We start from the raw sequence: 16,234 nt of genomic DNA, 5'->3' as shown, positions 1-16,234 counted from the left end.
ATTAGAACCTGGGTCACAGACGAGAGTTCCCTACTAGCCTGGAGTCAGGTGTGTCTTCATCTCTAGATGGGCAACCTTATGCCAGCGTGGATGAAGTTTCCAGGGACTGTGTCTGCTCTTCATGGAGTCACTTAGCTGACATTAACTGGAGAACATTTATGACATTCCAAAGGGACCTCAGCCAAAGATAGATGCAGAGGGCAGGGCAGGACTTTGAACCTGCGTAGACCACAAAGTGCATTCTCACCTCTGTCCTTTTTATTCACGTATTTACTTCTACAAGCTCAGTTAGAGTCTAAAACACAACTCAGGTGAATCTTGAGGACAGAGAAATAAGAGAGCATTTAATGAATTAACTTTGAGAAAAGTGAGTTCAGGGGCCAGCTTTATGTCTACACAAGATGATAGACAAGAACCTATCTACAGGACAGACTTTGCCTCAGACCAGCCCAAGTGAGAGATTTAATTGAAATAGTCAGAAGAAAGACTAAAATCCACAGAGCCACAGAGAATGAAGGCAATCACGAGAGAAATGAGGGGATAGGAAAGAAAATGATGAGAAATCAGGTTGGTTCATTCATTGTCTCTAAATCCTGCTACCATGTAATAAGCACCTGGTGAGATTTCAATAAAGATGAATGCCTTGAACTGACATCTTGAGATTCTCACTTAAATGGTCTGGGGTGTGATGTGAGCATCAGTACCTTTAAAAAACTTCCATGATATTCTAATATACAACTGAAGATGACAAGGACCACTGGTCTACTCTGACCTCAGGTTTTCAACATGGAGATGACCACTTGTGTGGCTACTCCACACAAAAGGCGGAATATCCATCAGACATTGATGGGATCTGTATTCACCTCTCAACAGTAGTATTTGTAGAACGTAGAAAAAAATTAAAAAGAAAAACAAGAAAATAGATGGATTAGACCTGTAGTCTCTCTACTTAAAGCACACTTGCTTAATTTTGAGTACAAGTAAAATAAGAAATAGTCATTGTATTGAAACCCAGTATACAGAAAACAATACCTCGTATATTACTCATATTCAGATTTAGTATTTTCTTTTAAATTTTATTTTATTTTATTTTATTTTTAAGACAGAGTCTCTCTCTGTCACCCAGGCTGGAATGCAGTGGCGCAGTCTCGGCTCACTGCAACTTCTGTCTTGCGGCTTCAACAATTCTCATGCCTCAGCCTTCTGGGTAGCTGGGATTACAGGTGCCTGCCACCACACTTGGCTAAGTTTTGTATTTTCTAGTAGAGGCATGGTTTCACCATGTTGGCAAGGCTGGTCTCGAACTTCTGGCCTCAAGTGATCCATCCACCTCTGCCTCCCAAAGAGCTGGTATTTAGGCATGAGCCATCATGCCCAGCCTTCTTTTCAATTTTAAAATAAATCCTGCAGTTTACATTTCCACACACTGATTCCACAGCCCATGAATGGGTTCGGCACTGCAATGTAAAAATTCTGCTTTGCTCAATTCTTGTCATTCAGCCAAGTCCTCAGAGAGAACTCGTAGGTCTCACTCCACTAGACAGAATATAATAATAAGTAAAAACTGAAACTTGGCCGGGCATGGTGGCTCATGCTTCTAATTCCAACACTTTGGGAGGCTGAGGAGGGTGGATCACCTGAGGTCAGGAGTTCGAGACCAGCCTGACCAACATGGCAAAACCCTGTCTCTACTAAAAATACAAAAATTAGCCATGCATGATGGCACATGCCTATAATCCCAGCTACTCGGGAGGCTGAGGCAGGAGAATCACTTGAACCCGGAAGACGGAGGTTGCAGTGAGCTGAGATCACACCACTACACTCCAGCCTGGGTGACAGAGTGAGACTCCATCTCAAAAAAAAAATAAATAAATAAGAAATAATAATAATAAAAAAACTGAAACTCAGGAAGAGATGATATATGAATACTTTTTTATGCTACCCTTGATGCTGGCAAGAAATTCTAAAAAGAAATCTTTCCCAACAAACCACTCTGGGAAAAATGTAACAGGGAGAGGAGAATGTAATAAAACACAAACTAATCCTTTTCACTTTCTACTTCAGAGTTTTGTTGATCAGATATTGAGCATGTTTCTAGAAATGCCTTAAGGTGTAACCAGGTGTGGAATCAACTTCAGGGAATTAGGGATAATAAGTTGGGCCATGGTTACAATCACCACCCTTCCTTTGTAATTCCATTTGACTCTTTCCTTTTCTTCTGATCCTTTTTGGAAGAACACATAATATTTCTTTTGTCTTTTTCTCATTTTTTATTTTAACCAACAAAACAAGCAGCAGTGACATCATATTTCTTTGTAAAAGCTCATTCCTATCCTAGCCAAGGTGACCCAGCAACCTCTAGTGACTGTCGAGAACTCCAGATTGGAGAATTGACTCTCCCTTCTCTCTAACTTATTGAAAGAGACTTCGTGCGTGGGTTCTAGTTTCAGGGTTGTCCATTGCAAGTCATGTGGCTTTAGTTAAGTCAGCCCTGTGGCATCACTGCTCCTCTGTTGTAAAAGGCAGAACTGGATGTGGATGCGGTCTGAGGTCCTTCCTGTATCTCACCTCCAGGGTTCTTCCCATGGCCCTGCGCACCCTTCCCTAAGAGACGGGGACATGGAGTTGTAAGGGAGTGGGTTTCTCTGCAAAAGGTCCTTTCCTTCTGCAGCCCTCTGTTTCTGAGCTTTCATGGTTGATGCTGAGAACATCCTCACTGAGGGGTGTGAAAAGCCATTACTCTGCTCCAGACACTGGGGATCAGGAGGAAAGGGGCTGCTGGTTGGGCAGAGCTAGGGTCCCTATATCCTTCACCTCAAGCTGACTGGAAGTTCAGGGGTGTTTATTTTTCACTTGCGGATGGCACTTGCCTCTTCACTCAGCCTGAGGCTCACCCTTCAGCTCATCCTCCTAGCAGGAGCTCAGTTTGCCCCTGGGCTATCACCACTTAACAGTCCCTCTAGACTCAGCCATCAGCAGGACCTGACAAAGATGCCCATTTGATCTTTCCTTCTCTCTCTCCTACAGATACTAAATGCTGCTGGAACAATGAAAAGAAAGAACGGATGTCACAAAAGCATTTTCATTTGATGAATAGAACTAAAAGAGCAAAGCAATTGAAAGCTCAACACAACACAGGAGGGATCCATGGCTGAGGATTGTATTTCAGAACCACTGACTGCTCTTGACAATTGTTAACCCACTAGGCTCCTTTGGTTAGAGAAGCCACAGTCCTTCAGCCTCCACTTGATACCAATACTTAGGAAGACCAAAGCCAGATGGACAAACAGCATTGAGAGGCTTTAGCCCTACTCCTCTCAGCTTCCATCCTGTAGAGAACAGGAGTCAGGAGCTGCTGGCAGGAGACAGCATGTCACTTGGGACTCTGCCAGTGCAGAATATGAACAATGCCATGTTCTTGCTAAAAATGCTTAGCTTGAGTTTCATAGGAGGTAATCACCAGATAGACAACTGCAGAATGCAGAATACTGAGCAGGACAATAACCTGTCTCCTTCAGACAGTCCATGTCACCACGAATCACACAATAAAAAGGAGAAAAGACATTTTGGGTTCAAAAAAACTAAAAAGATAATGTAGCTATATTTCTTTAGTTATTTTGAACCCAAAGTATCTCCTCATCTTTTTGTTGTTGTCATTGATGGTAGGGACATGGACTTGTTTGTAGAGGACAGGTCAGCTGTCTGGCTCAATGTCCTACAAGAGACAGGGGGGACATGGAAGCGTACAGCTATATTTGTGGATTAGTCTAGCTATCTGTTCAGTATTTAAAGTTGTTGTTGCATAGATATTTATGACTTTTGTCAGGGGAGGGTTTGGTGGATTGGTCCTTTCATCATTTTATAACGTCCCTTTCTCTCTCTGATTAGTTTCTTTGTTCTGAAATATACTATATCTGGCATTAATATAGCCAGTCTTCCTTTCCTTTAGCTAATGTTTGCATGATATATCTTTTTCCATCCTTTTGATTTCAACTTGCCTGTATCATCATATTTGAAGGTAGTCTCTTTGTAGCCAGGATGTAGTTGGGTCATGTCCATTAACCTACTCTGCCAATCTCTGTCTTGTAATTGGTGTACTTAGCCCATTGATATTTAATGTGATGATTGATATGGTAGGGCTTAAGTCTGCCATTTTATTTTTCCTTTTCTGTTTGTTCTCTCTGGTTTCATTTTCTGGATATGCTTTATTTTTCTTACCTGCTGTGGTGACTTGAACATCTTTGAGAATGGTGTTTTGCCTTATCCATAGTATTTTTTAGTATATGCGTTTGTATAGCCCTCTTGGTTTTTCCAGGTATATATATATATATATTTATATGTCTGTGCATCTATATCTGACCACATGGTATACTGGTGTCATTGTTTCACCAGTTGAGTGAACGATAGACGAGCAACCTTCTATATAGGTCTCTTTACCCTTCCAGTTTATAATTGTTTCCAACATTTTCTGTATGTAGAGTTAGAACCACATCGAATGGTTCTATGATTTTTTTTCTGAAACCGTCAAGCATAGTTTAGAAAACACAAGAGGAGAAAGAAGGCCTATTTTGCTCACTGTTTTTTAAAATTTTCTTTCTGACATCCCAAGTTTCCTTCTTTAATCATTTCCTTTCTGTCTGGAGAACTCCCTTTAGCCTTTCTTTTAAGGCAGAACTGCTGGTCAAAGATTCCCTTAGCTTTTCTTAATCTGGAACTGTTTTGATCTTCCCCTTAATTCCTGAAAGATGTTTCTGTTGGACAGAGGAGTCTGGGCTGACAATTATTTTCTTTCATGGCTTGAAAAGCACTGCACAACTTCTTTCTGCCTCCATGGTTTCTGATGAGAAATCCATCATCACCGGAATTGTTTTTCCTTTCTAGGTAAGGTGTCACCTTTCTCTGTTGTTTTCCGGATATTTTCCTTGTCTTTCTTTTCCAACATTTTATTTTGTCACGTGTCTTGCCATAGACCTCTTTGGGTTTTATCCTATTTAGGGTTCTCACAGCTTATTGAGCCTGTAGGTTTATGTCTTTTGCCAACTCTGGGAAGCTTTCGGCCATTTACTTCTTTGAGTATGTTTTCAGCCTTGTCTTCTTCCTCTTCCCCTTCCAGACACTGATAACAACATGAAAGTGAGAACTTTTGAGGTAGTTTCACAGGTCCCTGAGGTTCTGTTCACTTTCCCCCCCAGTCTATTTTCTCCCTGTTAGGATTCTGTAATTTCTGTTTTTCTCATCTGCAGTATATGAATTTGTTTGCTCCACACCATCCATTCTGCTGCTGAGCCTATCTGCTGGACTTTTTATTTTAGTTGCATTTTTCACTTCTAATACTTCCATTTGGTTCTTATTTATGTCTTGTATTTATTTGCTGAGTCTTTCTACTTGTCCATTTGTTTCAAGTGTTCTTATAAGTACTCATTAAATCATTTCATTAGGCTTGCCTGCTTTAAACTCTTTGTCAGACAATCCCAACACCTCTCTCATCTCATTGCCAGCGTGTATTTGCTGTCTATTTTCATTCAGTATGAGATTTTCCTAGTTCTTGGTATGATGAATGATTTTCAATTGAAACTTGGACTTTTGGGTGTTATGTTATCAGAGTTTCGATTTTATTGAAACCTTCTGTTTTAACTACCTTTTTTTGAGTCTGTTTCTGCAGGGGAAGAAGAGTGGTGCCATCTCATTGTAGCCAGGTGTGTGTAAAAATCCAGGTTTCTCATCTGACTGACCTCTGTTGACACCCTGAGTGGAGGAGCTGCTAAGGTAGGAGAGGGAGTTCCAGCAGCCCACTCCTCCTCCACTGCTACATCCCTGGCTGGGTGGGTAGGAGTGCTTCATTACTGCTTTCCACGTGGCCTCCAGTGACACCACAGGACAAGGGCAGCCTTATTACTGCTGGGTGGATGAAAGTCCTGACTCTCCACCAGGACTCCTCTGATACCAGCCTAGCAGACAGAGGGAGAGGTGCCTCATGACCATCTAATGAAGTCTAGGCTCCAAATGTAGTTTCTATTGACAGGGAGGTAAACATATTATCACCTGGCAGGGATGATGATGACAGCCCCAGCTTCCTCCTCTAACATCTGTCATTGAAATTGTTTTTCCCCTCTAGGTAAGATGTCGTCTTTCTCTGTTGCTTTTGAGGTATTTTCTCTGTCTTTAGTTTCCAGCATTTTAGTCATTGTGTGTCTCATGATAAATAAAATGCTGGAACCTAAAGAACCCCCGGGGCAAGGTGGGGGTTTAGCATATGTCATTATACCTGCGCAAGTGTGAAACCCGAAGCCCCTCACTGGGATTTTGCTAGCTTTTATGTTGATGCAGCCACAGCTTTTCTTCCACGGTGCTTGACCTGAGGAAACTGATGATCGTATATGTGTCTTGTCTTGCTAGACTGCCCCTTTGCTGATCCTTTGCCTAGAGAGAGCAAGATTGTATTGGGGTTTGCTGGATCTGTAGCCATTGGTATTTCTGGGTTGCCATCTCCTTTGGCTCTACATCTAGGATGTATGCGGGGGCATGGAGGAATCCTGGGAACTCATCTCCTGGCTTTCTGTGGGTCTTGAGGAAGCCAGATGGCCTCCTACCTTCTCTTTGCCCTTCAGTCTTCCTATGTTTGTTGTATGTACAATGCCCAAGGTTTTTAGATGTAATGAGCAGGAAGAATAGGGCAAAGTTCATCTATTCCACCTTCCCAGTGTATGCCTGTGATTTCCCTGTCTTGCCTTATTGATTTGGGTAGGATTGTCATGTGAAATATCAGTGGTGAGCGTGGTCTTCCTTGCTTAGTTCCCAGTCCTAGAGGGAAAGCATGTGGTCTTTCACCATGAGGTAAGAAGTTAACTGTGAATTTTTTTGTAAGTTGTCTTTATCGAGCTGACAAAGTCCTGTGTTCCTATGTTTCTGATAGTTGTAAAACATTCTCTTTCTTCCCTTCTTTCTATTTTTTCTTATTTCTGTTGTTTGTTTTGTTTTTTTGAGATGGAGCCTCGCTTTGTCACCCAGGTTGGAGTGCAGTGGCGTGATTTCGGTTCACTGCAAATTCCACCTCCCAGGTCCAAGCAATTCTCTGCTTCAGCCTCCTCGTAGCTGGGATTAACAGGCACCTGCCACCATGCCCAGCTAATTTTTGTATTTTTAGTAGAGATGGGGTTTTGCCATGTTGACTAGGCTGGTCTCGAACTGTTGACCTCAGGTGATCCACCCACCTTGGCCTCCCAAAGTTCTGGGATTACAGGCATGAGCCAAAGAGCCTGGCCTCCCTTCTTTATTTCTATCATGAATAGATGTTGAATTTGTCAAATGATTTTTCTTCATTGACTGATAAACATTTTTGTGGTCTGGTTTTGGAGTTGGGGTAATCATAGCTTTACAGAAATAGTCGAGAGGTGTTCCTTCATCTTCTATTTTCTGGAACAGATTGTACAGAATTGATGTTAATTCGGCTGGGCGCGGTGGCTCACGCCTGTAATCCCAACACTTTGGGAGGCCAAGGCGGGCGGATCACGAAGTCAGGGGATCGAGACCATCCTGACTAACACGGTGAAAACCCGTCTCTACCAAAAATACAAAAAATCAGCCAGGCGTGGTGGTGGGCACCTGTAGTCCCAGTTACTCGGGAGGCTGAGGCAGGGGAATGGCATGAACCCGGAGGGCGGAGCTTGCAGTGAGCCAAGGTTGCACCACTGCACTCCAGCCTGGGAGACAGAGCAAGACTCTGCCTCAAAAAAAAAAAAAAAAAAGAATTGATGTTAATTTTTCTTCAACCGTTTGGTAGAATTCTCCAGTGAAACCATCTGGACCTGGAGCTTTTCTTTCTGGAAATTTTAAAATTAGGAATCCAATTATTTTCATAGTTACAGAGCTACTCAGATGACCTGTTTTGCTTTAGGTAAGTTGTGGTAGTTGATACTTATGACAAATTTGTCCAATTCATCTGGGTTGTCAAATATATGTGTGTACAGAATTTTAAATAGTTTTTCCCTTATTATTATCCCTTTGATATCTGCAGTCTGTAATGAGTGTAGTCCCTCTTTCATCCTGATGTTCATAAGCTGACTTCTTTTTTTCTTTGTCAAGTTTATTGATCTTTTCAAAGAGACAGCTTTATTTTCACTAGTTTCCCCTTTTGTTTTTTTCTGTTTTCAATGCCATTGATTTCCGCTATTATCTGTATTATTTCCTTCCATTTGCTTTAGGTTTTTTTTTTTTTTTTTTTTTTTTTTTGTAGATTCAGTCTCATTCCCATGGCGCAGGCCGGAGTGCAGTGGTGCGATCTCAGCTCACTGCAACCTCCACCTCCCGGGTTCAAGCGATTCTCCTTCCTCAGCCTCCAGAATAGCTGGGATTACAGGCGGGTGCTACCATGCCCAGCTGATTTTTTTGTATTTTTAGTAGAGACGGGGTTTTGCCTTGTTGGCCAGGCTCGTTTCAAACTCCTCACCTCAGGTGATCCACCCACCTTGGCCTCCCAAAGTGCTCGTATTACCGGCGTGAGCCACCGTGCCTGGCCTGCTTTAGGTTTCTTTTACTTGCTTTTTTCTTGTTTCTTGAGGGGGGAGCTTAAGTGTATTCATTTGAGACATCCCCTCTTTTCTTTTATCCCTTTTAAAAACTTTTGTATATAATTATTATTGTAGGAAGTTAGGCTTGGGCCCGCAAACTATGGAAGAACAGAATATACTAGGCCGCTGCTTTAATAGCTGGTGCCTGCTTGTCGCCCACCCCCACTCCCCCACCTTAGCTGCCTTGTCCAAACCAAAGAGTTTAGTCTAGAATGGACATTTACTAGCCTGCAAAATAGTTCACTACATCTATTCTTATCAGCTTGCCTGACTGCCCAGGTCATAAGTCAAATACTTGAAAAGCCCCCGAGCTGACCATGATTGCAATGCATTATGGACTGCAACAAAATACAGGGAGACAACCCTAAAAAAAAAAAAAAAACAACCTAAAAGTCCAAACCCAAGATCCAATAGGCGACATCCGGGAATACTGTGACCCCATAGTACTCAGCCTATGAGGAACCGGGGGAGGCACTTCCACACTAGGGGATAAATTGCTTGTTGTAAGCCTACTGGGTGTGCCTGCCTACCAGACACCCGATCTTGCAAGACTGTCATTAATAATAAGTCGCACTTCTGCTGTTTTCCGGGTCTTGGAGTCCATTCTTTGGGTTTGGACAGGTGAGTTTATTTCTCACGATTATTTCCAGGCAGGCCTTGCCCAGTGGGTGGCTCATGCTTGTAATCCCAGCACTTTGAGAGGGTAAGCCTGGTGGATCACCTGAGGTCACGAGTTCGAGACCAGCCTGGCTAACATGGTGAAGCCCCGTCTCTACTAAAAATACAAAAATTAGCCGAGCGTGGTGGCGAGGGCCTGTGGTCCCAGCTACTCAGGAGGCTGAGACAGGAGAATCACTTGAACCCAAGAGGCGGAGGTTGCAGTGAGCCGAGATTGCATCACTGCATGCGACAGTGCAAGACTCCGTTTCAAATAATAATAATAATAATAACAATAATAATAATGGCACGACCTAAAGTTATGCAAGCATTTGCCTTAGATAAAATTTCAAGTTTTCAAAGTTGTTAGCTGGGTGGGCGGCATGGCTTTACTTCCTATTTCTTGGTATGTCCTAATCTTGTTGAAAAAGTTTTTCTTTTTCTCAAAGGCTTATTTCAGTGGAAGCCCATCTGCAAAATCTGTTATTAATTTAAATTAGAAAATCACTACAAGTCCCACTGACATGTGGGTTATTGTTTTTGCGAGTGACCTAAGGCCACCTCTCGGGGGAGCTGGGGGTTGCCTTCCCACGTCTGCGCGTCTGCACCCCATGCCCGGGCCTGGAAGTCAGACTCGGGGGCGGTGCTGCAGCACCAGGCCTGCAGTCCTAAGCGCGGGGTCGCTCCGGGCCCCCGAGGGGGTGTGTCTTCTGCCCCTTTAACCTGGCAGGGGCGGTTCAAGTGGCCCTGGAAATCAGCGATTTGTAGGGTCAAGGGCTGGTGCTTTAAAAGAGAGGCGGAGGGGAGAGAGGGATTTCCCGGTCTCTGCTGCACTCTGTCTATCCGCTCGGTTACTCCTTTTCCTGGCCCGCGCGAACCCGCTGTGCCGCAGAGGCGGCCATGTACCTTTAAGGCCCCGCTGCGCCTGCGCCTTGGGCTCTCCTGACGCGCCGGGCGGGACCCTGAGGAGCCAGCTGGCGCAGGCTATGGGCTGGGCGGCGGTTGAGACAGCGGCGGTATCGGGAGGGGTAGGTGAGGGTCGCGAGGCTGCGTGAGCATCTGAGTGAACGCGGTGCTTTTGGGAACGCGGGACGGGCGACCTGTGGCGCCAGGAGCGGGCCGAGGCGTGGCGCACGGATGCCGTCTGGATGGGAAGTTACGGTTTACAGCGAAGTCCACCCAGCGTTTCCGAGGTGAAGGCGCCGCGCCAGGCCGGGCGGGCGGTGAGTCCGGGACCCGCGGGTACACAGCTGGGTCGAGCTGCGGCTGTCGCAAGTTTTGTTGCGAGCGACGGAGGGCGAGGCGGGGTGGGGGGTTGGGAGGGCGTGTGTTCCGGCCCCGCCGGGGCTTAAGTTCCATGCGTTGGATTCCTCGCTTGCCGCTGCCGCCCGCAGCCCTCCTTGGGCGCTGGGGAAGAAACTCGCTGGCGGGTGTTCTGTGGCATCTCAGGGGGTGGAGGGACGAGCAGCTTCGGGGGCACGTCCTCGTGTATCCTGTGGAGGACCCTGACCCCGCACCCCACCCTCGAGGCCAGAAATCGGTTGCCTCTGGGGACCTGAGAAGCGAGACCACTCGCGCCCCTGACTTGCAAAGTTGGGGTCTTTATTGGCCTCCGGGATTCTGCTCCTGGCGGTTTCTCCAGGCTGGTGATGGGCAAGCCGGGTGTACCAAGTCCAGGATGCACATGAGGAGCGTTTGTAGCAGTCACTGAATCACCTCATGACTAGCGGGGCAGGCCTCTAATTCACCGCAGGATTTCCGGTAGGTTGGATTGTGGGGTTGGTGTTTGCACTCCAAAGAGTTGCTGTGATTTCCCTGTATCTGTCTTTCTGGCTTGTTAGATCTTCTCATTTGGCGTCCTTTCTCCGAAGAGTTAACCAAGACGTTTGGCATGGTTTCCTTGCTTTCCTCCTATCTTTTGCTGCTAGAGCTGCTTTCGAAAAGAAGTCTTTTCTTGCAGTGGTATCTTTTCTTTGGGTTACAGTGTTGTTCATCCTTTCTTTGCCGAAAGAATGAATCCCAGTGCTTCACAAGGTTAAAGGAAAGATCTGCTGGTAGTGTTTAGTCTTTGTTCTGAGCTGATATGTGTTAGTAGCTTTTTGTTTTTAAATTTTATTAGTAAAATTTCACCAGTGAACCAGAAGCTCTTTTTTTCTGTTGTGAAATGCTAGCTTTAAGATTTCTGAGAACTTTGTGTCAAAGAAATCTTTGAAAAGTTACTGAAGTATACAGAGAGGTTCACAATTTTAAATGTGCAGGTGGTCCGGGCGCGGTAGATCACACCTGTAATCCCAGCACTTTGGGACGCCAAGGTGGGCGGATCACTTGAGCCCAGGATTTCCAGACCAGCCTGGGCAACGTGCCAAAACCCTATCTCTACTAAAATTACAAAAGTTAGCTGTGTGTGGTGGTGTGTGCCTGTAGTCCCAGCTACCTGGTAGGCTGAGGTGGGAGGATCACCAGAGCCCAGGAGGTTGAGATTGCAGTGAGCCGTGATCATGGCAGTGCACTCCCGCCTGGGTGGCAGAGTGAGACCCTGTCTCCAAAAAAAAAAAAAAAAAAAAAAAAAAAAAAAAAGTACAGGTAATGAATTTTTACCAAGTGAACCACCACAGATCAAGAAATAGAACATTACTAGACTGGGGTATATTTGTAGGAGTGGCATTGTTGGTTTTAGAGGTATATGAATGATAAAACTTAGTATTACATATTGTTGAACGTTTTCCCAAAGTGGTTGTACCATTTAGCAGGGATACTCTGGTTACCCCACATCCTTGCTGATGCCTGTCAGTTAAAAATTATTTTGCCATTCTAGTAGGGGTGCAGTAATGTATCAGTGTGATTTCATTTTGCATTTTCCTGGTATTGAGATTGAGTATCTTTTATTGTCATTTGTGTGTCCTCTTTTGTGAAGTGCCTGTTAAATCTTTTTATCCAGTTTTCATTGATATGCTTGTTTTTCTGTTGATTTGTAATACTTTTTTCTGGTTATGTGTCCTTTCTACGATATATATGTATTGCATTTCCCTTTTTTCAATCTGTAGCTTGCCTTTTCGCTCTTTTAATGGTGCTTATTCATGAATGGAGATTCTCTAACTTTTTTTTTCTTTTTGAGACAAGATCTCACTCTGTTGCCCAGGCTGGAGTGCAGTGGCACAATCACAGCTGACCGCAACCTTGACCTCCCAAGGCTCAGGTGATCCTCCTGCCTCAGCCCCCAAGTAGCTGGGACCTACAGGTGAGCACCACCACACTCAGCTCTTTTCTGTATTTTTAGTAGAGATGGGGTTTTGCCACATTGCATAGGCTGGTCTGGAATTCCTGGTCTCAGGTGAGACATCTGCCTCGGCCTCCCAAAGTGTTGGGATTACAGGCATGAGCCACTGCACCCAGCCTGAGATTCTTAATTTTAATGAAATTATACTTTATCAATCTTTTCCTTTATGGTTAGTGCTTTTTGTGTCCTGTTTAAGAAATCAATGCCGAACCTAGGAGTATGAACACATTTTTCTGTGTTAACCTTATAGCAATTTTATTTTAGTTTTTGCATTTCTTTTTTTTTTTCAGACAGGGCCTCACTCTATTGCCCAGGCTAGAGTGCCGTGGCAGGATCTCAGCTCACTGCAACCTCCACCTCCTGGCTCAAGCGATCCTCCCACCTCAGCCTCCTGAGTAGCTGCGACTATAGGAGTGTGCCACCATGCCTGGCTTAATTTTCATATTTTTTGTAGAGATTGGGATTCAACATGTTTCCCAGGTTGGTCTCAAACTCTTGGGCTCAAGTAATCTTCCCACTTCAACCTCCCAGAGTGTGGGGATTACAGGCATGAGCCACCCCACCCGGCTATGATTCACTTTTTACTACATGGATGTGTCTGCTTGATCCAGCACCATTTATTGAAAAGACTATCCTTTTCCTTCTGCACTGTTTGGCACTTTTTTTCTTAAATCGGATGACTGCATGGTCATCCAATTTATGAAATTAGTGTGGGTCTGTTTCTGTTTCTGGACCAACCTGGGCAATATAGTGAGATCCCATCTCTACAAAAAATAAAAATAATAAATAAATGAGTAAAATTTAAAAAATAAGTGCATAGAGCAGATGGAGTCATAGGTGATAATTTATAAATGATTGTCAGTTTCTTGGCTACATACGGGTGTTGGTAATTCAGATGTGTTGGGCATTCAGGGAAAATGTATTAAGGGAAGTATGTGGTGTTCACAGTGATTGCTAGATGTTCATTGTGACTTGAATTAGATGTTATTTGAGCCTCACAGAGCTACAGTCTTGACTCTTTATTTATTTATCTTTTTTACAATTTTTACAATCTTCCTGTCAAGGCAGTAACTCTTTTATACTTCATTGTTCTTAGGTATACTTAATTACCAGGAAAACTTTATGGATCGTACCTAAATAAGCGTTAAGCCATTTAAAGGGCCGACGTGATGTGATGTAAACAATAGTATTCTACATAATAGTTTTAGGACTACATCGAACAATTTTTTTTTTTTTTCTTGAGACAGTGTCTCGCTCTGTTGCCCAGGCTGGAGTGGAGTGGTATGATCATGGGTCTCTGCAGCCTTGACCTCTCAGGCTCAAGCAGTCTGCCCACCTCAGCTTCCTTAGTAGCTGGGTCTACAGGCATGCACCACTATGCCCGGCTAATTTTCTATTTTTTGTAGACAGGGTTTTCCTGTAGTGCTCAGACTGGTTTCAAACTCCTGGGCTCAAATGATCCTCCCACCTTGGCATCTCAAAGTGTTGGGATTACAGGCATAAGCCATCACCGCTGGCCATTTTAGTTTTAATAATTTTTATGTTTTTCTAATTTAAAAGATTTACTAAAATCTCTTACAGCTATTATTTATGAGTATAGTATTCATTGTTGTTATTATGATTATTTTGTATGTGTTCAATCTCATTTTCAACATAAGCTCCTGGAAATTTGAGATTTTGTCTCTTATTCACCACTGTATTCTCAGTACTTGACCTTGCCTGGCATGAAACAGATATTGAATAAATATTTGTTAAAGGAATGAATGAAGGAACATACTAATACCATATTCAACAATCTCCAAGTGTCACAGTTTTCACCATCTAACAAATAAAATAGCTTGTATACAGCAGAGTCACAGTCAACCTGACATAAAAGGAAATGTCAATGAAAAATAAACCTTTGTATGTGTTGCTGCTAAGATTTTGGGGCTTTTGTTACTGTAGCATAACCTAGCGAAAGCTCAGCGAGACAGCCTGTAGAATATACGTGTACAGATAGACCAGATAGACCAGTAGATGAGATTCCAAAGAAGCATTAACTACACCCACACACTCATAATTCCCTAACAGAAAGAATCGAATTCTTGTTCACTAAGATCTGCCTCAAGTATTACTTTGTGAAAACTTCCCTGGCTACTCAAGTATTTAGTCAGGACTCTTTATTTTTTTTTCCCCCAGGCTGGAGTTCAGTGGTGCCATCATAGCTCACTAACCTCTAATTCAAGGCTCAAGGAATCCTCCTGCCTCAGCCTTCTGAGTAGCTGAGACTACAAGTGTGTGCCACCATGCTGGGCCAATTTTTCATTTTTTATTTTCAGAGATGGGGTCTTACTATGTTGCCGAGGCTGGTGAGGACTGTTGATTACATATGACAGGAACCCAAACAATTCTAGTTCCCCACCACCTTTCAACCTGCTCCTCCCTGGGTCTTCCCAGTCTCCGTAAACGGCAGCTCCATCCTTCAAGTTGCCGAAGCCCCAAATCTCAATATTAACCATGATTTCTCTCTTTTATCTCATAGGCAATCTGAAAGCAAATCCTGTTTAGATGCAGGCGAAGGTTCCTGGTGACCCAGGCTCTCACCTTACCGTCCCTTACCGTCCTCCTGAGGGTGTCCTGGAGCTTCAGTGCTGTGTGTTCTTGGCCTCCACGCTGGGGCTGCCACCAACTCCCACTGTCCAGGGCTTCCAGTGGACTCTCCGAGGTACTGATGTAGAAACTTCCCCATTCGGTGCACCAAGAGCAACCTCACACGGTGTGGGCTGAATGAAGAGCTGCCAGATCCCACAGGTAAAAACCCTGAGGCATTGCCAGCTCGATGGAGTCAGAGAGTCCTTTTTCTATTATGACTCAGATGTGAAGGGAAGATGCCAAGGGCCCTAAACATCGCAGGGCCTTGCCTGGCATGAAACAGATACTGAATTAATATTTGTTAGGTGAATGAACAAATATTCACAGCGTGTGCCACCCTCGACCTGCAGTGCCGTCGTCAGGTGGAAGTGATTTTACCTCAGGAGAGGAGAGTGTTCTCTCCAGGACTTTTCCTTAGTAGCTAGATCTGCATCCCACTCCTTGCTCTTCCCCTCTTACCCCCCATTCTCTGCCCCCATTTCCGTCTCTTGTTTCCACCCTGCCGTCCCCTTTCACCTGCTTTCTCCTCTTCAGCTTTCATGGCTCACCCCCTCCCTGTCCACCCGCATCCCCCAGGCTAAGGCCCTGCACTGTCCTGGGTGGGGAGATGTGTGTGGTTTTAGGCAGTGCCCTCTAGATGTGTCCAGGATGGGGAAACATGGCTCAGTTGCCAGTATAATGTGTTAAAAGAGAGGCCACTTTTGAAGGCCGTTCCCATCTCCCATTCCAGAATCCTGTAGGACTTAGAATTTATGGGCCACAGTGGAATTCTTGGTTCCCCAGGACCTTGTGGTGGATGCCTTCTTTCACTGAGCATTCATGGGGTGACTATTAGGTACCATGCCCTGCTCTGGGCTAGAGACCCCATAACGAGTAAATCTCAGGTCACTACCCCATGGAACCCACCACTGCAGGCATTGAGAGGGGGAGAAAGAAAGGGGCATGGCCTGTTTGTATCCTTCTCACGTGGCCGTCCACCAGGTCCTGGGGGAGTGGGAGCCAGTGCAAGGAGGGAAGTCCAGTGAGAATGACAAATGGACGATGTCAGACCCAGGGGCTGAGGCCCCCACCTGCAGCTGGGAAGCTTCTGGAGTGGACAAGG

At 44.6% G+C, this 16,234-nt stretch overlaps 1 protein-coding gene across 55 annotated transcripts in view, besides 4 other annotated features; it reads left to right on the top strand.

Annotated features, from left to right (window-relative positions):
• Positions 2,747-3,471: an enhancer, noted in NCBI's record as "OCT4-NANOG hESC enhancer chr1:148548587-148549311 (GRCh37/hg19 assembly coordinates)". NCBI's record gives its function as "activates a minimal SCP1, AML or CMV promoter by ChIP-STARR-seq in naive and primed H9 embryonic stem cells {active_cell/tissue: H9 hESC(naive and primed)}" and the evidence as "EXISTENCE:reporter gene assay evidence [ECO:0000049][PMID:30033119]".
• Positions 6,543-6,778: a silencer, noted in NCBI's record as "fragment chr1:148552383-148552618 (GRCh37/hg19 assembly coordinates)". NCBI's record gives its function as "represses an EF-1alpha promoter that drives an FKBP-Casp9 reporter gene in an ReSE screen in HepG2 liver carcinoma cells {active_cell/tissue: HepG2}" and the evidence as "EXISTENCE:reporter gene assay evidence [ECO:0000049][PMID:32094911]".
• Positions 9,398-10,131: an enhancer, noted in NCBI's record as "H3K27ac-H3K4me1 hESC enhancer chr1:148555223-148555956 (GRCh37/hg19 assembly coordinates)". NCBI's record gives its function as "activates a minimal SCP1, AML or CMV promoter by ChIP-STARR-seq in primed H9 embryonic stem cells {active_cell/tissue: H9 hESC(primed)}" and the evidence as "EXISTENCE:reporter gene assay evidence [ECO:0000049][PMID:30033119]".
• Positions 10,132-10,865: an enhancer, noted in NCBI's record as "H3K27ac-H3K4me1 hESC enhancer chr1:148555957-148556690 (GRCh37/hg19 assembly coordinates)". NCBI's record gives its function as "activates a minimal SCP1, AML or CMV promoter by ChIP-STARR-seq in primed H9 embryonic stem cells {active_cell/tissue: H9 hESC(primed)}" and the evidence as "EXISTENCE:reporter gene assay evidence [ECO:0000049][PMID:30033119]".
• The window catches only part of NBPF15 (NBPF member 15), a 40,280-nt gene continuing 34,204 nt past the window's right edge, over positions 10,159-16,234 (top strand). For 11 of the 55 annotated variants that reach the window (NM_001385418.1, NM_001385415.1, NM_001385373.1 and 8 more), the window contains exons 1-4: positions 10,159-10,447; positions 10,867-10,985; positions 12,345-12,462; positions 15,023-15,291. The gene's annotated coding sequence lies outside the window, so the exon portion shown is untranslated. Of the gene's footprint in view, positions 12,463-12,791; positions 12,982-15,022; positions 15,292-16,234 lie in introns of all 55 variants that reach the window. The other 44 variants (NM_001385410.1, NM_001385407.1, NM_001385433.1 and 41 more) reach the window with 16 other exon arrangements.

The sequence above is a fragment of the Homo sapiens genome, chromosome 1 (genome assembly GCF_000001405.40).
Source record: "Homo sapiens chromosome 1, GRCh38.p14 Primary Assembly".
Taxonomy (NCBI): domain Eukaryota; kingdom Metazoa; phylum Chordata; class Mammalia; order Primates; family Hominidae; genus Homo; species Homo sapiens.
The sequence above is the reverse complement of the archived record's forward strand: the minus strand, read 5'-3'. Positions and strand labels throughout refer to the sequence as shown.